At 34.9% G+C, this 25,009-nt stretch overlaps 1 protein-coding gene across 31 annotated transcripts in view; it reads left to right on the top strand.

Annotated features, from left to right (window-relative positions):
- The window catches only part of COP1 (COP1 E3 ubiquitin ligase), a 262,456-nt gene that overhangs the window by 76,038 nt on the left and 161,409 nt on the right, over positions 1 to 25,009 (top strand). For all 31 annotated transcript variants that reach the window (XM_047427793.1, XM_047427798.1, NM_001286644.2 and 28 more), the window contains one exon: positions 14,568 to 14,625. In XM_047427793.1, coding sequence (XP_047283749.1) covers positions 14,568 to 14,625 — 58 coding nt within the window. The remainder of the gene's footprint in view (positions 1 to 14,567; positions 14,626 to 25,009) is intronic.

The raw sequence follows: 25,009 nt of genomic DNA, 5'->3' as shown, positions 1-25,009 counted from the left end.
TTGCCAGAAATATGATGTTTCTTTCCTGCTTAAAATTTTTCAGTAGCTGCCTATCATGTACATTGGTTTAGATCCATCTCTTTGCATAACCCTCCGTAATTGCCTAGCCCCAGCCTATTGTTTTTGTGCTTTAAAATTGTATGTAACTCTCAAAGCAGAATGTTAGGGTATCTTTGCTTACACTGTTCCTTTTGCCTAGAAACTTCTCCTGGATTCAGCTGTTAAGTAACTATCCCCAAAGACCCCAAACCTATAGGGTCCTAGGGTGAAGTCTTTCTATTCTTTTTTCAGATGCCATTTCCCTAAAAAATTAGGGGCAGGGAAAAGGAAGCAGGAGATAGAATTAACCACTTGTTTTGTTTTGTAAAGATTTCTACTTATTTTGATTCTGTTTCTATAATATGTATTACTTTGGAAAAAATACATGTTTTCCATGCTGTACTGTAATCCTGTGAGTATTGTTTTTTTCTTATACTTCCACATTTTTATGTATTTATATATAATAAGGACTTAAATACAAGGTTTTGAGTAAATATTTACCTAACCTAGAATGTCATTTAATTTTCACAGTTTGTGAATTTGTTAAAGCATCACATGTAGTATACTTAATAGGTTAATTATTTTAATCTTGCTATAAAAGCTATCAGCCATGCTTCATTGAGGTGAGGTATGTTTTTTAAAAAAATATATCAGTTGAATTTTTTAACCTTTTAAGCTTTCATCCATTTCAGACTTTCCGTAGAATTAATCAAACCAATGACTGCTATACTTAGAACCTTTTTAATCTGTTTTAAATTCTAAGGAAGAAAGTCTTCACAATTCTCAGTATAAACCATAGTTTACATTTTATTGTTGCATAGTTGTGTGTGTGAAATAATGAGAAAATTAGAGATTGGTAGGCAAGCATAGTCTCTTTTACTTATTATCAAGAGGAATTGGTTCTTTTGTATGGGAGGGTGATTATGAGGATATACATCCTATCTGCCCTTCTAGAGTATTATTAATATTTTAGACATTTTTTAACTTTTTAGCTCAGACTTTATTTAAATAATAAAGCAAAACATTTTTGTTAGGTTCTCTTCCTGGCAAATAGGACAATGCTGATTTTTTTTTATATTGAAACATACTTAGACCAGGTTTGATTATCTCTGAATTTTTGAGAGCGGTAAACTGGGTGGACGTTATATGGATTAACAAATGTGGATTTTAGGCTCTTTAAATATTATTTAGTTTATTATTATGTGTAATTGAATAGGAAGCAGAGCTAAATAACTTATTATTAAGCCTATGAAGCCATTAGCTTAGTATGAGCCTAGTCTTATCTTTTTGTGGTTAGCTGTAAATCTGGTGTGATGAGGAACGTTAGCATACTATTCGTTAGATTTTAAATTCTCGTCAAAGCCATTGCAGTAACTTTGCTTTTAAATTTCTGAATGTATCTTATTGATGTGATTTCTGTCTTAGAAATAGTTATCTCATAATTGCTTTATTCTTTGTCTTTAAGGAATTTTGGAATGGTGAGTTATTAGTCTCTTCTGTGTGTTCAGAACATCGGATAACTTAGTTTGAAAAATGATGTATTAGTTGAAGCTTCTCTATCTCCTTCAGCTGGGTATGCTTTATAAGATCCAGATAGTTGCTGGAGTTAAATTTGCCTAATAAGTCTTGTTTTTCTAAGGTAGTAAATAAATGTAGTACAAAATACAAGTACTAAATAAAATTTTTTGATCTACAATCTCTCATCTTTAAAATGCTTTTACTGATAAGAGATTGCTGTTGATTGAAAGTTTAATTCATTTTTTTTAAAAAATTGTCATGCAGACATGCATTAGTTTGAATCCTGAATTGCCTATTTTCTGTGCTAGAGGAAGGAGGAGATTTATGAATAAAATATATAGGTAAGACTTTTATATGACACTTTTGATTTTATTTACTCTATCAGACATTTTTGAGACATACCTTTTATTTGTATTTCTGTAATTTTGACAAAGTTCCAGACGAATCAAAGTGTAGGGACAATAGGAAAAAACAAGGAATCATTTTATGGAGGCTAAGAGTATTTAACATTAAAAATATATATGTAGGATAGTGATCTAATACCTTGTGAATTTGTATATTTTATAATTTGAATAAATTAATGATATTTAAGAAACAATACTGCATAATAGCTTCTGGACTATATTAAGAAATTCCTCTAGTTTACCCATGTCATTCTATGCAACTATACTAATCTCTGGTCATTGAAAGAATATATGCTTGGGAGGGATATGGAGGACAGGGATGACTCTTTATATAGTAGATGAAAAGTGAGCCATCTTGCCTATTTTTGCATAGTGAGTCTTTGGCTGGATTATTACCTATGACCAATGCATTGTCAATGTCTGCTGCTTCATGTTAATGCTTAAGTTCTTAGTACTTTTTGGCAGTTATTATTGGTTCAACAACTTTATTTTATTTGGAAATTTTTTTTAATGCAGGAAATGAAATGTTTTTATAATCAAATTGAACTAATGCTTATTTAAGGGGAAGATTATGACAATACAGGAAATTATCTGTATACAATTTAATACTTTTTCTCAAACCTTGAAGGTTAGGTGATTACAGACAGATTTTAAGAAGTCTCAAGTACACTTAAATTGGAGAGTTTTGAACATACATGGTGTTTTGCTGTATTTTAATGAAGCTTACCTTTATGTGGGAGTAGTAAAACCATTTGATTGTTTTATTCTTGTGAGTACTAAAGGTTACTTTCCTTAATTCTGACCCTAAACCATGCCAAGGAGTTGAACTTGATGCCAAAGTCAGTAAAATAATTGAAGAATCTTAAGGAATCTTGATTGTGAACTAAAACAAAAACAAACACAAAACACAGGAAGCAAACTTCCATGGCAATAATATAGGGGATACTCTTCATACACCTGTAATTTCTCATTAAAATTGATAGGTAATAGAAATTCAGTAAGTTCTGAAAACCTTTCTTGAAACTCTGATTTTCTTTAGAATATTTGAAGAATTTATTTTCAGTCATTCAGCCAGTATTTGAGCCAGCGTGTATAAAACACTGTGTTAGAACCCAATTATTGAGAGAAAATATTTGTAAATCATATATTGGATTAGGTGCTAATGTGCAAAATATACAAGGAACAAAATATACAAATACTCAATGAAACACCCCTATTTTTAAAATGAGTAAAGGACTTGAACAGGTATTTCTCAAAAGAAGACATAGAAAAGAAGACATAGATATAGAAAAAGAGGCTCAACATCTCTAATCATCAGAGAAATGCAAATTAATGCACATCACCTCACATTTCTTAGATTGGCCATTATCAGAAAGATGAAACAAGTGTTGATGAGGATGTGGAGAAAAGGGAGCTCTTATAAACTGTTGGTGGTATTGTAAATAGTACAGCTACATTGGAAGACATTATGGAGGTTCCTCAAAAAACTAAAAATAGAACTACCATACGATCCTGCAATCCCATTACTGGGAATATTCTCAAAGGAAATAAAATCACTATGAAAAAAGTCCCATCTTCTTTGTCCCATTATTCACAGTAGCCATGCAAACAACCTAAGTATTTATCTAAATGGATGAATGAATTTAAAACATATATTGTATGTATATATATATACACACACACACATATATACACATACACACACACACACACACACACACACACAGTAGAATACTATTCCACCTTAAAAAGACCCAGGAAGTTCTGTCATTTGCACCAACACAGATGAACCTAGATGACATTATGTTAAGTGAAATAAGACAGGCACAGAAAGACAGATATTGTATGATCTTGCTTACATGCGGAATCTAAAAAAGTTGAACTCATACAAGTAGAGCATAGTATGGTGGTTAACAGAGATTAGAGGTGGATGGGGAGAGGGGAGAAGTTGGTCAGTGAGTACAAAGTTATAGTTAGACAGGAAGAATCAATTCTGGTGTTCTGTTGTGCAACAAGGTGGTTATAATTAATAATAATAAATTGTATGTTTTAGAATAGCAAAAGAGAGGATTTTAAATGTTCTCAGAAGAAATATTTGAGGTGGTGGATATGCTATACTCTGATCATTTCACAATGTATGCAAGGATCAAAATATTTTATACCTCGTAAATATTCACAATTATTATGTCAATTAAAGATAAAAATTTAAAAAACACTGTTAGGCGCTGGGATATATTTGTGAATATGACAGACCCTAGAACCCTGTTCTCATGGTTATATATTCTTAGGAGGAAAAATAAGATATGTGAGTGAATTGATTATTCTCTTTAAATTTTGGTGTAAATAGACTTTTTGATTCCAATAATTTAAAATTATAAAACTGTTCCAAAAACTGTAGTAATTATGATTAATTAGTAGGCATTTCAGGATTTCTATAAAATATCCTTGGGTTCTTGATAAGAACTAAAATCATCAACAGAATGAAAGATAAAAATCATATCATCATTTCAGTTGATACTTAAAAAGTGATGTTGATGGCCAGGTGCAGTGGCTCATGCCTGTAACCCCAGCACTTTGGGAGGCCGAGGCTGGCGGATCACAAGGTCAAGAGATTGAGATCATCCTGGCCAACATGGTGAAACCTCGTCTGTACTAAAAATACAGAAGGCTGGGCATGGTGGCGCGTACCTGCATTCCCAGCTACTCGGGAGGCTGAGACAGGAGAATCACTTGAACCCGGGAGGCAGAGGTTGCAGTGAGCTGAGATTGCGCCACCGCACTCCAGCCTGGTGACAGAGCGAGACTCCATCTCAAAAAAAAAGAAAAGAAAAAAGAAGTGAGGTTGATGAAGTTCAATGTTCCTTCATGATAAAAACCTTCAATGAACTGGTTATAGAAGGAACACACTTCAACATAATAAAAGCCATATATGACAAACCTACAGTTAGTCATACTAAATGGTGAAAAAGTGAAACCTTTCCTCTTAGATCTGGAACTCAACAAGGATGCCCACTTTCACCAATGTTACTCAACGTAGTACTAAAAGTCCTAGCTAGAGCAGTCAGACAAGAGAAAGAAATAAAGAGCATCCAGATTGGAAAGGAAGAAGTCAAATTATCCCTGTTTACAGATGATGTGATCTTATATTTGGAAAAACCTATAGACTCCACCAAAAAACTATTAGAACGAAATGATACAGATTCAGTGAAGTTGCAGGATACAAAGTCAACATACAAAAAATCAGTAGCATGTTTATATGCCAGCAGTGAACGATGTGAAAAAGAATAAAAATATATTCTTATTTATAAAGCCACAAATAAAATTAAATACTTAGGAATTAACCAAAGAAGTGAAAGATATCTATAATGAAAACTATAAAGCACTGATGAAAGAAATTGAAGAAGACACAAAAAACTGGAAAGGTATGCCATGTTAATGATTGGAAGAATCAATATTGTTAAAATGTCCATACTACCCAAGCAATCTACAGATACATTGCAATCACTATCAAAACACCAATGACATTCTTCACAGAAATAGAAAAAAAAATCCTAAAATTTATATGGAATCACGAAAGACCCAGAAGAGCCAAAGCTGTCCTGAGCAAAAAGAACAAAAGTAGAGGAATCGTTATTACCTGATTTTACATTATACTATATAGCTATAGTAACCAAAACAGCATGGTACTGGCATAAAAACAGACACATGCCAATGGAACCGAATAGAGGACCCCGAAACAAATCCACACACCTACAGTGAACTCGTTTTTGACAAAGTTGCTAAGAACATAAATTGGGGAAAAGATATTCTCTTAAATAAATGGTGCTTGGAAAACTGGATATTTATGTTCTGAAGAATGAAACTTGATTCCTGCTGCAAAGATCACATCAAAGTGGATTAAAGACTTAAAGGCCTCAAACTGTGAAACTACTACAAGAAAACATTGGGGAAACTTGGGGCAAAAAATTTTTGAGTAATACCCCACAATCACAGGCAACCAAAGCAAAAATGAACAAAAGGTACCATATCAAGTTAAAAAGCTTCTGCACACCAAAGGAAACAATCAGCAAAGTGAAGAGACAACCCACAGAATTGGAGAAAATATTTGCAGACTACTCATCTGACAAGGGATTAATAACCAGAATATACGAGGAGCTTAGAAAATTCTATAGGAAAAAAAAAATCGAATAATCATTTAAAAATGGGTAAAAGATTAGACATTTCTCAAGACAAACATGGCAAACCAGTGTATATGGAAGTGTTCAACATCATTGATCATCAGAAATGCAAATCACAACTACAATGAAATATCATCTCACCTCAGTTAAAATGACTTTTATCCAAAAGTTTGGCAGTAACAAATGCTAGTGAAGATGTGGAGAAAAGGGAACCCTTGTATGGTGCTGGTGGGAATGTAATTTAGTACAACCACTATGGAGAATGGTTTGGAGGTTCCTCAAGAAATTAAAAATAATAGCATATTACGCAGCAATCCCACTGCTGGGTATATATCCAAAAGAAAGGAAACGTATACATGAAAGAGTTATCTGCATTCCCATGTTTGTTGCAGCACTGTTCACAATAGCCAAGATTTGGAAGTAACCTGTGTGTCCATCAACAGATGAATGAATTGAGAAAATGTGGTACACATACTCAATGGAGTACTATCAGCCATAAAATGAATAAGATTCTGTTATTTGCAACAACATGGATAGAACTGGAGGTTATTATGTTAAGTGAAATAAGCTAGGAACAGAAAGATAAACAACACATGTTTTCACTTATTTGTGGGATCTAAAAATCAATTGAACTCGTGAAGATAGAGAATAGAAAGATGGTTACCAGAAGCTGGGAAAGGGGTAGTACGGGGCTGGGGGGCAGGGGAGGTGGGAACGTTTAATGGATAAAAAAAAAAAATTAATTAAAATGAATAAGATCTAGTATTTGATAGCATAACAGGGTGACTATAGTCAATAATAATTTAATTGTACATTTAAAAATAACTTAAAAAGTATAATTGGGTTGTTTGTAACACAAAGGATAAATGCTTGAGGGGATGGATACCCACATTCTCCATGTTGTGATATTACATATTGCATGCCTGTACCAAAATATCTCTTGTACCTCATAAGTATATACACCTGCTGTATACCCAGAAACACTAAAAATTTAAAAAAATTAAAAAGATCTAAAATCACTGCTTGATGATGATGATAAAAGTTCATTTAAATTCTGAAATCTGAGGTGTGAAGAAGCCAAACTGCAGTGTTCATGAGTGTCAACCAAGACTCGTATTTGAAATGCAGATTTTTAAAATCTGATTGATTAGGTTTGAGGTAGATCTTAGAGATTCAAATGCAGGCCTGGGGTTTGGGAGTGGTAGAGATGCTACTTTAGAAAATATGGGAAGATTAAGTAATTGGTGATAAGTCTGTGTTACTGACATGTTTTTGAATAAATTCTTAAATCTGACATGCTTATTTTCCTTTTTATAAGAGAAAGTTCAAATATTCAACACAAACATTTTATAACTGCATATTTCATGTTTTGTGCAGGGTGGGGGTAAAGATTTTTAATTCTTTTACTCTACTCTGTAAAGTTACACATTCTTCTGTAATGTCTTTGAAATACCTCAGATAAAGTTTCTGGGCTTGAGAGGGCCGGAAAAGTTAAAAATCAAGTCTCTGTAAAGGAAACAAATTATTGGTATATACCAGCCATTCCCTGTTAATTCCATTTATATGCTGTGATTAGAGCCTTATGTTTATGGCTTTTTGTCCTTTCAGGTTAGAGTCATTTAGAGTCACATAGGAAACTCTTTTCCCCTTTAATTATTATAGATATACTTTGATTCTAGGAGGTCAGAAATGGGGGTACCTAGGGAAACCAAAGCTGCACATGGTAAAACTTGCTTAGGTATAAGGACAACTGTATACAAATGTAAAATTTCATGTGCTGTTATCATTTACCATTTCTGCTGTTCATGACATCTCTCCTACCGAAGTCCCATCATATTTTTCCCATTCACCACATCCCTGAACCTTTGAATTTTTAATTAATTGTTTTTGGAATGCTTCTTCTAAGTATTTCTGGAGTACTTCTGAGGTTATTTCAGATAATTGTTTTTTTAAACCCTGATGGATTGTATCAACTATATCATCTGATAATTTAAAATTTCTACTGTGTGAATTACAAATAAATTGTAATCTACTCCAACTTGTTGGAAAGTAGTAGTAGAATACAAACTAGTCAAATAAACCACGTTGTGTAATGAACTGAAACTTTAACTTATTTTGTTGGAGTCAAATCAGTCTTGTTGGTCTTATTCCTTTGAGCTTATTTTTGTCTATTTTTGACATTCTACCAACCGAAGTAGTTTACTTCCAAAAGTGATAAAGCAATAGACTCAGACCTGTTCCATCTTTTAGAAATTTTCCCTCATGCTTGCTTTTTATATCTGCTAGCAGTAAGTTTCTAAGGAAACTCCTCTTACAAAAAAAACTTTCAAATGAGCTGCTCTTTTGCTTTCCTTTTTCAGTTTCAGAATTATTATGTAATAAACATTTTAAAAGGCGGTATAAGTATTAGGTTCCATAGTCCCTGTATGCATTATGTAACTGTTACTTTTTGTAACCATGTACTAATTAAAAGAAGACAAGAGGTGCTGGGGAAGTTTTTTTCTGGAGTTCTGAAACACTGTGATAGCGTCTGTTGTTTGAAGAATAAATTACCCCTATGTCTTTCCTGTAGAAATCATAGATAAGTACTCTGTGGCCTAGTACTTCTGTTATTGAACTAACCTTGCATTCCTTAAGTAAACCTAAATTTGTATGATATATAAGTTTCCAAAATTTTTTTGGAAATCTTTTGGGTCAGAGTATAGTCATATTCCTTTCCTGCCTTCACCGATTTTGGAAAGGTAACAGAGTACATATGCCATGTATCGTATAAAACTGATGGAAGAATAAGAGGGACTTTCCCATCAAGCACATTAATATTTCAGCGTTAAAACATGATGTCAGATGTGTTCAGACCAGGTTTTTTATTTTTACCTTTAAATAGGTTGCAAAACAGCATTTGATTTTCAGAGTTTTGAATTTTAGGTCTTAAATCATCTTTTTGAGCCCAGATTTTTTTTTTTTTTTTTTGAGATGCAGTCTTGCTCTGTCGCCCAAGCTGGAGTGCAGTGGCGCGATCTCGGCTTACTTCAAGCCCCACCTCCCAGGTTCACACCATTCTCCTGCCTCAGCCTCCTGAGTAGCTGGGACTACAGGCGCCCGCCACCATGCCCGGCTAATTTTTTGTATTTTTAGTAGAGACGGGGTTTCACTGTGTTAGCCAGGATGGTCTCCATCTCCTGACCTCATGATCTGCCTGCCTTGGCCTCCTAAAGTGCTGGGATTACAGGCGTGACCAAACTTTTTTTTTTAAGGCCACACTATATTGCCAAAAATCTACATATTGCTAAAAAGCCATTGTCATCACTGACATTTATTTATACAAAATTTGTGTCCTTGAAATTCAGATACCATGAGAAGAGTTTAGTATTGTCTGTTTCTAAACAGGCAATGAGAGAAGATTTCATTTTAATTTTCAGTTGGATTTTGCATCAAAATCAGGAAATCTATTTTAGAAATACTGTCCTAGAGGAGAACTGCATTTATATGTCCAAGTTGCAACTGTCAAAGTAGTATTCCAGCTGTGGAATTGTGTCACTGCACTCCAGCCTGGGTGACAGAGTGAGATCGTACCTCTAAAAACATAAAAATAAAAAACGACATTTAAAGAAATGAAAATAATGTCTGGTACTTAGTAAGAACTCAATAAATGTTAGCTGCTGCTGTTATTGTTGTTGACAGATTAGTCGCATAGATTTTGGGTGATATATTTGACTACTTGTGTCAAATGTTAAAGGGTATGTGGAATAAAACAAGAAAAAACATGAAGAATGATTTCTAATATCTCTGGAGGTCTCTGCAAAATTGGGGCCACAACAATTTTGGTTGCTCAATAAATGGGATTTACTATTAATTTAAAATTAAATATTAAAAATATTAAATTATTAAAAATTTAGTATTTTCAGGTTACTTCTTGCTTAGTGTGTTTTCTTTTGGAGAAACTGGTTCAGTAACTATATGTAGAGTACTGGAAAGGAAAAAGTTTTATTTGTAGCCCCACTTGGTTTATTTATTAAATGTAGAAGTTTATTTTTCTCTCTTTTACGTTTATAGCAAAAAAAATCAATGATAATAGTCTAATTTTATGTGAGTACATGGCATTTTGGACTCTCTTTGATTCTCTTATTCATAATTCCATATTTATTGTCTATGTTTAGCCTAAAATGATCTCAGTGTGCTTTATTTTTGCTCATCGATTAAAAATTTCTCTTTATAATTTAATTAGCTAATGTATCCACTAATAATTTAAATTTAAACCATTCTTTTTCAATATAAAAGGCTAGTCTAAAATCAATATGCCTATTATCTTTCCAAGAGTGAACCATTGTTTTCTCTTGGCTACCTCTTCATTATGGTATACCTCATATGTGAAATTGACTTAATAATCTTCTTTCTAGTTAGGAAATACGTCTTTGCTTTTGAAGGAAAATAATCTAGGTGAAAATAGTTATACGGACATCTACTTGCATAGCAGAATTTCTTTGATACCTCAAATTAACAGCTGCATTGTTGTTACTTTTTTTAGCAAAGCTTCTCACTGTTACCAGCAAGAACATTAAGAACTGTTTCATTATCTTTTGATTAAAGTGTATTACTCCTGTATCAGTTTTAGTTACTACCCTGAAATTTTTTTCCCTTGACGTTTTTTGATGTCTTTATTAAGCTTTTTTTTTTTATTTTTTGGAGATAGAGTCTTGCCCTGTCACCCAGCACCCAGGCTGGAGTGCAGTGGTGTGATCTCGGCTCACTGCAACCTCCGCCTCCTGGGTTCAAGAGATTCTCCTGCCTCAGCCTCCCTAGTATCTGGGATTACACGCACTTGCCATGATGCCCAGCTCATTTTTGTATTTTTGTAGAGTTGGGGTTTCACCATGTTGGCCAGGCTGGTCTTGAACTCCTGACCTCAGGTGATCCGCCTGCCACAATTTCTTAAGCTAGTATAACTTTTATAATTTTATTGACATTTATTTGAAAAATATATGATTCTGTCTTATATTTATAGGTTACTGTTTTTCATTTTTCTCTTTAAAATATGTCTACAAAGTGGAGGCTAATCCAGGATTTTCCAGTTCTTAAGTTAGAGAACATAAGGTGCCTAGGTAGTTTATATAGCGTGGTCGTTCTTGTGGACTCTGGGACTTGACTGCTTGGGTTTGAATAATAACTCTGCTATTTCCCAGTGTTGTTATCTTGGGCCACATATATAATCTCTCAGTGCCTGAATTTTCTCACTTGAGAAATGAGAATGATAATAGTATTATCTACATTAGAGCTGTGAAGTTTAAATTATTTAGGTTAGTGCATAGTAAACCGTCAGTAAATGGTACTATTGATATTGTTACTGCCATCTAGTGACTGTGGATGAGTCAGGAGTTAAGTAGTAGTATAGCACCAGAGTCAAGAGGGACCCAGCCCTGTCAGTGCTTTCTAATATTCTTTTCTATATGTGTGTGTGTGTGTGTGTGTGTATGAATGTATAATGTATATATTAAGCAGAATTAATGGGTTTTATTATTCAAATTTTTCTATTGTAGCCTGCATTATACCTTTTTCTTAGTGAATAAAATTAAGACCTGGTAGAAAATAAGTTTCATATTGTGTAATCATTAATAAGATACTATTTTTAATTCTTAGTTTTATCTTCAACAAACTGATGAGTATTTTTTAACATATATTTGAAATGTAGAATTATATCACTGTATACACTGAGATATCAATATCATTCATTTTTTAGGCTTACAGTCACAGAATTCTGAATCATAAATCCATAAAAATGCATAGCTGGAAATGTTCTGTTCTATAGGCCTCTAAATATGCAACTACACAATTTTATTAGTGTTATACAAACACTAAGGGATTGAGTTTCATTAGTAGGAAGAACAGAGATTTTTAATGCATTGCATTGCCTCACTTTCAGTCCTCTTAGTCTCTGGATGGAGTAAACTGAAAATAGCATGCAATCTTGTCATACCAGTGTGTAACTCTATAGGAAAGGCAAGTAATGGTTACATTTTATCAGAATAAACTCATGACAAGAACATTTGAATTCTTTATATGGTTAAGTTCTTCAAAGGCTCTTTTATAATTGAGTTTTGCTATAGGAATTGTTAAGAAACAAGGTTTTTGTTTTTTGTGTGCTGCATTTTTTGGCACTCATCTAACTTTATTTCTTTATTTTTTCATTGATACGTAATATTTTGTACATGTTTATGAGGGTACTTGTGATATTTTTTACATGCATAGAATGTGTAATGATCAAGTCAGAGTATTTGGGGGTTATCCCATCACCTTGAGCATTTATCATTTCTTCTGGCTATTTTGTTTTTGTTTTTGTTTTTTTGTTTGTTTGTTTGTTTGTTTGAGACAGGGCCTCTCTCTTGCCCAGGCTGGAATGCAGCGATGCATAGCTCATTGCAGCCTTGACCATTTGAGATTAAGTGATCTTCCTACCTCACCCTCCTGAGTAGCTGGAACCCCAGGCGTCCACCACCACACACAGCTAATTATATGTAGAAAACGGAGTCTTACTATTTTGTCCGGGCTGGTCTTAAACTCCTAGGCTCCAGTGACCCTCCCACCTTGGCCTCCCAAAGTGCTAGGATTATAAGCATGAGCCACCATGCCTGGCCTCTTCTAGCTATTTTGAAATATAAATACATTGTTGTTAACTATAGTCACTGTAATCTTCTGTCAAACCTTAGAACTTCTTTCTTTCGTGTAATTTTATGTTTGTACCCATTAACTATGCCTTAAAAAAAAAAGACTGCTGTGTAGACAGATTCATATGATTTATTTTTGAAAATGTGAAGTTTTATGTTAACTAATTTTGTTAATAAAAGAAACTAAAGTTTATTGAATGTTTACCATATTTTGGCATCATACTGTGAACTTCACATGCATTATCTTATTTAAATCTCATACTTCTCTGATGTGTCTTCATCATTTAATAGATGGAGAAGCTAGAGCTCAAATAAGATTAATCACTTGCCCAGAGTCAGGTTATTCACTTCTATGGGTAAAATTCAAACTGTGTACTACTTAGAGTACCTCCCATGCTTTAACCTTTGAGGTTCTTTCAGTACTAAGTAATTAATCATTTTGTATGTTTACATATAGAACCATTCTAATTAGTAATCTCAATTGCTTAAATTTTATAGGGTAGAAAGAATATAAACTTTTTTGTTGGTTTTTTGTTTGTTTGTTTGTTTGTTTTTCGAGACAGAGTCTTGCTCTGTTGCCCAGGCTGGAGTGCAATGGTGTGATCTCAGCTCACTGCAACCTCCGTCTCACAAGTTCAAGTGATTCTCCTGCCTCAGCCTCCCAAGTAGCTAGGATTACAGGAGCTTGCCATCACACCCAGCTAATTTTTTTACTTTTAGTAGAGACAGGGTTTCACCATGTTGGTCAGGCTGGTCTCGAACTCCTGACCTCAGGTGATCCGCCCGCCTTGGCCTCCCAAAGTGCTGGGATTACAGGCGTGAGCGACCGTGCCTAGCCTAAGCATGTTTATAGTAGAAATAGAGAAGAAGAATTTACAAAAAGTAAATAATCGTTTATACGGTTGGTATGTATGTCATGTGATTTTCAGTTGTTGATAGTTTTTTATGTAAGGCTTATTTAAAGATGAGAGGGAGATAGGAATGATGAAATGGTAAGATAGAAATGCTAAGATAGAGGAAGTAAAAGATAGTCTACACTTCTGGAGGTTTTTTTAGGGTTAGATAGAATGAATAGAGGATATAACCAAATAAAAAGAACCAATGGAGAAAGCAGATTATGTTTGACCAGAGCAGAGGAAACTAGTATATTGGTTTTGGGTTACAAAGACAAGATTATTGTTATTTTACCATTTATTTTATTCTTTTGATAGTTCAGTTTTTCACATGAGGTTTGATTATAATATTTTGAAGCTGGGAGGGACTCTAGATGATATATAAATAGCTAGCCTACATCACCTCATTTTTACAGATGAGGAAACTTGAGTAATTGATTATAAGTTAATTGTCCAAGAACACATAGCTTTTTAATGGCATAGCAGGGTGTGTTAACCATAGATTTTGATTGCATGCTTGTGCTCTTTTCCCAATAGTGTAAATTTTCTTTTCCTTAAAGTTCTCCAAACCTTAACCTGTCTGAAAATGAAATATAAACAAGTAAATCTATATAGACATCTGCCTTGTGATTATCCCCTATTGACATTATTTCTTGGTTTATATGTTTGAGGTGGTGGGTTGAAGTGGTAAATTGCTTAAATATTTGCTGATATTTTATGGGTTGTCTATTTGATGTCTAATGATTGGCAATAAATATTTTCTTGGCTTAGAAATTAGAAATACTGGGCTTATATATGATATACTTTAGATTTACTTTTTCTGTTGTTAAAATAATGTAAATACTGAAATCACATTTTTTTCTCTTCATTTTGCAGTAGTATTATTGATTCCACAGAATACAGCCAACCTCCAGGTTTCAGTGGCAGTTCTCAGGTAAACGATATCTTTGTTTGCTTTAATGATACCATGAGTATAATTATCTGAGTTATAAAATCATAGATTAGTTTACTAAAATGTCCTGTCACAAAGACAACCATTTTGAATGCAGTGGTGTTGATTAGCACTTGAATAGCTCTTATGCATAATGGTAGAATCAAATATTAATATTTGCTTTTTCAATGATAAGAACTTAAATTTATTTTCTTCACCAAGTTGTGATGGAACAAATCTAAAGTGTTTTGCTTTGTTTTTGTTTTTGTTTTTTTGAGACACTCTGTCACGCAGGCTGGAATGCTGTAGCCTTGACCTCCTAGGCTCAAGCAATTCTCCTACCTCAGCCTGTCAAGTAGCTGGCCCTATGGAAGTGCACCACCATGCCCAGCTAATTTTTGTACTTACTGTAGATCTAGATGGATTTCACCGTGTTGTCCAGGCTGGTCTCAAACTCCTGGACTCAAGCGATCTGTCTGCCTCACCCTCCCACAGTGGTAGGATTACAGGTGAAAATCACTATCCCTGGCAGTTTTTTAAAACTTACTGTTAATTTCAGAACCTGAGAGGAAGGAAATACTTTAGGAAAAAAATTATGAATAATCAGAACATAGTTTATCTTAGAGATAATGAAAATTATAAATCTGTCATTGAATTACGCTTCATTACGTTGAAACTTAACAGCTTTTCCATGGAATAAAGACCACAGTCTTGAGTAAAATAGATAATCAGCTTGACTTCTTTGAATTAGTTGTATGAGTATTTTAACCTTTACTCTCTTCATCTTTGGCTTGGAGATACTGATATCTGTCAAGCTTATTTTTGAGGCCTAATAGGCTTTTTTCGACTTTTTATTTTTATATTTTATTTTATTTTATTTTTTTGAAACAGAATCTCACTGTCTCCAGGCTGGAGTGCAGTGGTACGATCTCGGCTCACTGCAACCTCCTCCTGGGTTCAAGTGATTCTCCTGCCTCAGCCTCCCAAGTAGTCGGGACTACAGGCACGCGCCACCACGCCCAGCTAATTTTTTTGTAGTTTTAGTAGAAACGGGGTTTCACCATGTTAGCCAGGAAGGTCTCCATCTCTTGACCTCGTGATCCTCCCCCCTTGACCTCTCCAAGTGCTGGCATTACAGGCGTGAGCCAGCGTGCTCAGCCATTTTTTATTTTTCTTTTTGAGACAGAGTCCCGCTCCTGCCCAGGCTGGAGTGCAGTGGTGTGATCTTGGCTCACTGCAACCTCTGCCTTCTGGGTTCAAGCGATTCTCCAGCCTCAGCCTCCCGAGTGGCTGGGACTACAAGCGTGTGCCACCGCGTCTGGGTAATTTTTGTATTTTTAGTAGAGATGGGGGTTTCACCATGTTGGCCAGGCTGGTCTCAAACTCCTGATCTCAGGTGATCTACCCACCTTGGCCTCCCAGAGTGCTGGGATTACAGGCGTGAGCCACCACTCCCGGCCACGTTTTTTAACTCTTTGTATTGAAATAAGTTTTGACTTAGAGAAAAATTACGAAAATACTAAAAAGAATTCCTTTATAGTTTACATCCAGATTGTCTAAGCACTTAACATTTTATCACATTTGTTTTATCATTCTCATTCAGCCTTTCTTTTACCTATATATGCGTATAATTTCTTTTCTGGATTGTTTGAGTAAGGTACCCACATATGTTTCTTTACCCTTAAATACTTCAGCATGTATTTCATTAGGAACAAGGATATTGTCTTATGTAATCACAATATAACTTTAAAATTCAAGCAGTTAATATTGATAAAGTATTATTTATAAATTCTAGATTTTCAGATTTTAAGAATTACCCTAATATAGCCTGGGCAACATGGTGAGACCCCGCCTCTACAAAAAACAAAAAAATTAGTTGGGTATGGTGGCATGTGCTTGTGGTTTCAGCTACTTGGGAGGCTAAGGTGGGAGGATACCTTGAACCCAGGAGGCCGTGGTTATAGTCAGCTGAGATCATGCCAGTGTACTCCAGCCTGGGTGACAGAGTGAGACCCTTTCCCCCCCACTCCCTCCCCCCGCAAAAAAAAGAATTACCCTAATATCCTTTATAGTAAAACAAAAAACAATGAGGTGTTTTTAATGAACATTTATTTGTATATTCACTTTATTTGAAAAAATAGTACACCTATTTTTATCTAAGTGAACAATAAATCCTTTTGGATTATATCACTTCTGTTTTTCTTTTTCTTGTCTCCAAACTTGGATGACTACCTTGTTACTTTTATGATTAGTTTATGTGACTACTCTGTACATCATCCTGTATTATATTCATGTACAATGCATGCATTTGGCCTATTCTTTTTTTGTAGTAAGTTTGTAGATTGGTTTGTATCTGTTTCTGAACGGTCATGAAAATACCAGATTCAAGTCTTTTTGTAAGACATAATGGAATACATTAGGAGAAAATTTAAAGCCTTAAATTGAAATATACCGTAGGAACTTGAGAGAGAATAGCAGTCCCTGTATCTGGAAACTGGCTTGGCATTTATAGCTAGCCATTTATGTTCTCCTTCTGAATATAATTTCACAGAACATCAACATCAGACAAGGCTACTCCCTGTGACTGATGAAGCGAAACAAAAAGCAAGATCACTCCATAAAGTTGTCTAGCCACGTTTAAAAAACAAGGTCACTGTGCAAACTATAAAAAAAAAAAAAAACCCTACCCTGACCAATGTGAATGGTTGCTGCTTCTTTACTGGTTAAAACTTTAGCCTCCCTGTAGTCTTCTGTGCTCCTAGATAAGATTTATCATTACATAAGTTACTGAATTATAGAATCATTCCCACTTGACAGTATCCAATCCACAGTGAAGCCCCACTTTCTTGAACTCTCCCACAAATTATTTAACAAGTGCCTTAATCCTTTAAGTTGTTTCTAACACTGTCTTACTGAGCCATCTCTCACTTATTCATATTTATTGCTGCTAGCAATAAATAAAATTTATTTAACTACAGGTGTTTTTTTAATTGGTCTTTGGCTGGAGGACTTTGACCAAACTTTATATAGGGGAACAAGAAAAGGTTTCCACAGTTACCATTTATATTAACACTACTTTGAAATTTCTAGCAAATCCTATGAGCTAGAAACCAGTAGAAACTGAATCTGAATACAGCCTTCAGAATGTGAGAAAATGTTGGCAGATTATCTATCCGACAAGGGATTAATAACCAGAATATATAATGGACTCAAACAGTTTGATTGCAACAAATAATAATCCAATTTAAAAATTGACAAAAACTCTAAATAGACATTTTCAAAAGAAGATATACAAGTGGTCAATAGGTATATGTAAAAATACTTATCACTAACCATCAGGGAAGTGGAAGTCAAAACCACAATGAGATATCATCTCACCATAGTTAGAATGGTATTATCAAGAAGATAGAAGTAACAAATGTTAGAAAGGACGTGGAGAAAGAGTGAATGCCCCTATACTGATGAGAATGTAAAGTCGTACAGCCATTATGAAAAAGAGTATGGAGGTTCCTCAGAAAACTAAAAATAGAACTGTCATATGTTCCAACAACCCCACTGCTGGCTATATATCCAAAAGAAAGGAAGAGATACCTGCACTCCCATGTTAATTGCAGCACTATTCACAATAGCCAATATTTGGAATCAACCTAAGTGTCCATCAGCAGATGAAAGGATAAAGAAAATGTGGTGTATATACACATTGGAATATTATTCAGCCGTAAAAAAGAATGAAATCCTGTCATTTGCAGCAACATGGATGGAACTGGAGGTCATTATATTAGGTGAAATGAGCCAGGAACTGAAAGACAAACAAACATCACATATTGTCATTCTTAAATGGGAGCCAAAAAAAAGTGGATCTCATGGAGGCAGAGAGTGGAATGGAGGTAGTAGGCAGAGAAGGGAAAGGCAAGGAGGGGGAATGGAGAGAACTTGCTTAATGGGTACAAAAATACAGTTAGATTAGGTGAATGAGTTGTAGCATTTGATAATACAGTAGGGAAATTATAGTTATTACTTTATTGTATATTTCAGAATAGCTAGAAGAGAAGAGTTGCAGTGTTTCCAACACAAATGATAAATGTTTGACATGATAGAAATACCAGTTACCCTAATTGATTATTACACATTGTATACGTCTATCAAAATATTACATGTACCCCCCACAGATATGCACAACCATGATATAGCAACTTTTCTAAAAAGAAATTGAATGGGTGCAGCACACCAACATGGCACATGTATATATACGTAACAAACCTGCACGTTGTGCACATGTACCCTAAAACTTAAAGTATAATAATAATAAAATTTAAAAAAAATGTAGATCCTTGAATCAAGATTTAAAAAAAAAACTTGAATCTGGAGGAAAAAGAAAAACAATCAGAATTTTTTTTTTTTTTGGAAATATTTTAGAGTAGCACTTACTTTTATGTGGTGAAGGAGACTTTTGGTTTGAGATAGTGCACTGAGACAGTACGTAAATATCTTCTCATCCCCTCCCACAAGAAATCCTATTGCTATATTGCTCTCCTCACACCCACAACTTAGAATAATTTATAGATGATTAAAAGAGAAAATACTTATGGAAGAAGAGCTGACTAATCTCTGATTCACTGTATGCATGGTACATGTGTGCTTAAGGATTAAATAACAGGTCTGCCAGGAGAATTCTTAGCATCTGTTAGAGCACTGGCTGGTTGTTGAGGAGGAAACCCTACTAGTGTTGAGATGGAGCTGACATGATACATTGCACTGAAGGCCTTACCCTTCATTTCTAGCTGTGCTCCAGATAATAGCTAGACCTAACATAAATGGAGACAAAAACAATTGAAATAGTGGATAGTCGAGTATAAGCCTGGCAAATGCAAACTAAAGAATACTGTAAAACTGAAAAAAACCCAAAAGTATGAACAAAATAGACAGTTTTTTTCGTATAAATAAAATGTATACTTTCCAAAAGTAGTAAAACTTAGTATCATTAAGGATTGGAATTTATGTAAAGCAAAATCTGTTAGAAATTAAATACTTAGGGGCTGGGTGTGGTGGCTCACGCCTGTAATCCCAGCACTTTGGGAGGCCAAGGCAGGTGGATCGCAAGGTCAAGAGATCGAAACCATCCTGGCCAACACGGTGAAACCCCGTCTCTACTAAAAATACAAAAAATTAGCTGAGCATGGTGGTGCGCACCTGTAGTCCCAGCTGCTCAGGAGGCTGAGGCAGGAGAATTGCTTGAACCCAGGAGGTAGTGGTTGCAGTGAGCCAAGATCATGCCATTGCACTCCAGCCTGGCAACAGAGCGAGACTCCATCTCACACACACACAAAAAATAAATAAAAATAAATTAAATAATTAGGTAGCATTTATTTTGCAGTTACTTTTCATAGACAGTGTTTGAACTATTCATATTTATTAACTAACTTTCAGAGCTACTCTGTGAGATAAATACTGTTATTATTATTATTTTTATTTTTTGAGACAAGGTCTCGCTCTGTTGTCCAGGCTGGAGTGCAGTGGCGCCATCTCAGCTTACTGCAACCTCCGCCTCCCGGGTTCAGGTGATTCTCCTGCCTCAGCCTCCCAAGTAGCTGGGGCTACTGGTACACACCACCACACCCAGCTAATTTTTGTATTTTTAGTAGAGACGGGGTTTCACCATGTTGGCCAGGATGGTCTCGATCCCTTGATCTCATGATCTGCATGCCTCAGCCTCCCAAAGTGCTGGGATTACAGGCATGAGCCACTGCGCCCTGCTGATAAATTCTATTACTATTTTTTATTGAGAAGGAAACTGATACACAGAGAAGTTATGGAGGTTGACTCAGATAATATAGCTAGTAAGAGGAGGGAGCTGAGATTTTAACCCAGACATTATGGCTTCAGAGTCTTTGCTTTTAAATACTCATTTATTCAACCAGCAGGTTTTTGGGGTTTTGTGGTTGTTGTCATCTTTTTTTGTTGTTTTGTTTTTTTGTTTTTTGTTTTAAACATACCTCATATTTACTAGGCTCTGAGGACACCTCACTGGACAAAAGCAAAACAGATAGTAATCCTTGCTATAATGAAGTTTCCAATCTAGTTGGTAAGATATTTATAGCAAAAGTATAGATGACTTTTGAATGACCAGGATATGAGGAAGCAGAGATATGTCTACGAATGTCCCTGGGAAAACTTCCTAGGCAGAGAACAAGAAGTAAATAATCCCTGAGGTGGAGAATGCCTTACATAGTTCAGAAGTCCAGTGTAGCTGGAGACAAGTGAACAAGGGAGATAAAAATAGAAGATGAGGTAAAAGAACTTAACAGAGGCTACATTTCATGTATGGCTTTCTTAGGCTGTTAGAAGGAGTTTAGATTTTTTGAGTGAAATGAGTTAAGCATGGCTTAATAGGTACTTGTCTCCCTATATACTTTGCATCAAAGGATATATGTTATTTATTGTAATCCTTGGAGAATTTCGAAAAATTGGTTGAATCTAAGACAAGATAAATAGTATCGTCTGCATTGTGTGAATTAGAGCCCCAAATAAACAGATAGAGACAGACAGGCAGTCTAGAAAAGAGTAAATGAAGACTCCTCTGAGTACCTGTGTGTTAAAAAATCAGTGCACTCAAAAAATACCGCTAGTGGAAACATTATTTATCAAAAATTTCTGGAATGTGGTCAGAATTGTACTAAACATTCATAGTCTTGAATGCTTTCATTTTTAGATAAGAATGAAAATAAATGAACTTATTATTTATCCAAGAGGCTACATTATCACTAGATGGTAAATATAGAAAGACCAAAAAAAAGCCCATATACAACATAAATTGAAATTAGCTATTATCATGATACTGAGTACATTAAAATAACTAAGACAGTGTTGATGCATACTAATAAAAATCACATTCTTAATGACATGTAATTTTAAAGAAGAATGTAAAATATTAAAATAGTTCAGATTAATTTTAGGACAATTGGGATAGACCAGTAACCATAATTACTAATTTAATTAGATTCCAATTTAAAAGAAATCCCAGTAGTTTTTTTTAAGGGTGTGTAGAATGTGGCCAATTAACATTGTAAAGTTCATTAGTACAATGAATTATTCAGAAGTTAATGATGAATTTACCTCATCAACTATTAAAATGTACTCTAAGACTGCTGTAACAAAAGAAGCAGAATAAAAATTTAAAATCTACCAAAAAGTAATTAATAGTCTGTGATAAAGGTGGTCATGTAGATCAGTGGTGAAAGGAGAGATTAAATGCATGGTGTTGGGACAAATGGGAAACTATTTGAAGGAAATTTAGCTTGTTTTCACTTACTGAAAGAGTTCAGTTCAGCTAAACAATAATTTAAACAGCAATAGAACTATAGAAATGAAGAAAGAAGTCTACCCTACATATAAGAAAGCACCACAAACAAAATTTAAACCCAAATTGAGAAAGGCGTCATAATTAGGGCAAGTAAATGGCTTAATTGCTTCAAAATATTAAAAATTTTGATAATTTTATTTATTTTATTATTTTTTTGAGACAGAGTCTCACTCTGTCGCCAGGCTGGAGTGCAGTGACGTGATCTCAGCTCACTGCAACCTCCACCTCCCGGGTTCAAGCGATTCTCCAGCCTCAGCCTCCCGAGTAGCTGAGACTGCAGGTGCGCACCACCGCGCCCAGCTAATTTTTATATTTTTAGTAGAGAAGGGGTTTCACCATGTTGGACAGGATGGTTTCGATCTCTTGACCTCGTGATCTGCCTGCCTCTGCCTCCCAAAGTGCTGGGATTAGAGGCATGAGCCACCGCTCCAGGCCAATTTTATCTTTTTAATGAAAGCTCCAAATAGAGTAAGAAAATGGTTCAGGACATCAATATTTTTAAAAGACAAAAATTCACACATTCAGCTCACATGAAATAATACTCAATTTTTGCAAATAAATAAAAGCAAAATATAGAATAATACTAGATACCAAAGAAATCATCTGATAGTTATGGCTAAAATCAAAGGGATGTTCCAAAATGGAATTACTATTACTTGCAATGAGTGTATGTGCTCAACCATGTGCATATTGGGGAAGGGTAGGTGGAGGAAGGGAGAGTGGTAGTTGAGTTGATAGTCGTCCAGGAAGATAATTTGGCAGTATATACATGTGATCAATGCTAAAATAGTTTGATTTGGTAATTATACACAAATTTATTTCAAGGAATGATTCTAAGTACTATGTAAAGATTGTATACTGGTATTAATCATATGTGCAAAAATTCTGGAAAAATAAACATGCCCAGCCATAATAGAATAGTTACAGAAATAGTGCTACAACTATAGGATGGATTACTTTACTGCTCTTAAAAATAATATTTAGTAGTTGAATTGAAAAAAATGCTAACAATATAAGTGAAGCCAGAAATGTATGAACTTTATAGAGTTATATTTCTGAACTTTTGTAATTGCCTATTGATTTTGCTTTAGAATTTTTATATAACCATAGTACAATTAGCAAAATTAAAAAATTGATGTATCTCAGAAAACCTAAAATTTTTACTTTTTAATTTTTTACAAATTAAATTTCAGCAGTGTATTCACTAATGTCCTTTATAGAAAAAAAAAAAAATCTGGTCCAGGACCAATTCTGAATGACTTGTTGCATTTATTTGTCATGTCTCTTTAATCTCCTCTAAATTGGTACAGTTCTTCAGTTTATGACATCAACATTCTTGAAGAGTGTAAGTTATTTATAGGATTTCCCTCAGTTTGAATTTGTCTTGTGTTTCCTTATGCTTAAGATTCAGATTATCTATTTTCGTCAGGAATACTATAGTAGTCCTATTTTGTCCTCCTTAGTTTGTCATATCTGGAGGCATATGGTATCTATTTGTCTCAGTGCTGGTGATGTTAACTTTGATCACTCGATTAAAATGGTGGCTGCCAGATTTCACTGCTGTAAAGTTTCTTCCCTTTGAGCATCTATCATTGTATCTTACTTATAATAATAATTGTTAATGTGTTAGTTGTCCAAATGATGATTTTCTGAGTTTTTATATCTTCCACATTTATTAGTTAGTCCTTCTCTTTGTATGTTTATATTGTTGTGGAATCCTGGGTCATTAATATATATATTCTGTTACTAATTTTGAAACTCAAATCATCTTGTATTTGGCTAGTTGGAGCTCCTTCATACTGACTTCTGTATCCTTTTGACATATTTCTATCATTCTTTATAAGTACTTTCTTAGACAATAATGTTCCAGCTTCATTCCGTACTGACCTTGCTCCAGTCCTGGAATAGTCTTGTATCCAAGAAACCTCTTTTCTTTTAGTGGAGAAATATATTTTAAAACCAAAAATCTTAAGTATGCTCATTGTTCTTGGAGTATCATTGCTTGCAAGCTTTCTCAGTGGACAGAGCTAGGAAATATATGTATTCATATGTATTAATATACATTGTTATATATTTATATCCATAATATATATGCATTAATTACATATTAATCACTGTGTTTGATTACTGAAGGACTCCCAGGAATCAAACCATTTATATTTCTGGAACAGTGTGATTACAGGCAATGGATATACAGAACAGCCCAGCAGCAGTAGTGTATTTATTGAAAGGGATCCAGAGAATTCAGTCACAATATTCTTTGTCCTTCCACTGCTAGGTTGCACCGGAATTGCTTTGTCACCAGATTTAGAATCACTACTGGCTTGGGTTTGAAGCACCTGAATGCCAGGAGATCCAAAGTCAGCTTTTGGTTGGAGTCTCTAATTGTGAGCTAGTCATGTAACCACTCAATGGATTCACCTTGCCTGCTGCCTAGACAGAGTCAATTTATCAAGACAGAGGAATTGCGATAAAGTAATTCATGCAGAGCCGCTGTGCTGTTACTCAAATCAGTCTCCCCGAGCATTTGGGGATAAGAATTTTTAAGGACAACTTGGTGGGTTGGGGGAAGCCAATGAGCCAGGAGTGCCTGATTGGTTAGGTAGGAGATGAAATAATAGGGAATTGAAGCTGTCCTCTTGCACTGGGTCAATTGCTGGGTGGGGGCATAATATCAGATGGGCCAGTTAATCAATCTGGGTGTTGCCAGCTGATCTGTCAAGTGCAGGGTCTGCAAAATATCTCAAGCACTGATCTTAAGAGCAGTTTAGGGAAGGTCAGAATCTTGTAGCCTCCAGCTGCCTAACTTATAAACTTATAAACTATAATTTCTGATCTTGTGGCCAGTGTTAGTTGTCTAGTTGCCAGGCAAGAAGGAGGTTTGTTTTGGGGAAAGGGCTGTTATGGTCTTTGTTTTAAGCTGTAACCTGTAAATTGGCTGGGCACAGTGGCCCACACCTGTAATCCCAGCACTTTGGGAGGTCAAGGTGGATGGACCACCTGAGGTCAGAAGTTCAAGACCAGCCT

Source organism: Homo sapiens, chromosome 1 (assembly GCF_000001405.40).
Source record: "Homo sapiens chromosome 1, GRCh38.p14 Primary Assembly".
Classification (NCBI taxonomy): domain Eukaryota; kingdom Metazoa; phylum Chordata; class Mammalia; order Primates; family Hominidae; genus Homo; species Homo sapiens.
Note: the sequence above shows the minus strand (reverse complement) of the source record. Positions and strands in the feature narration are given on the sequence as shown.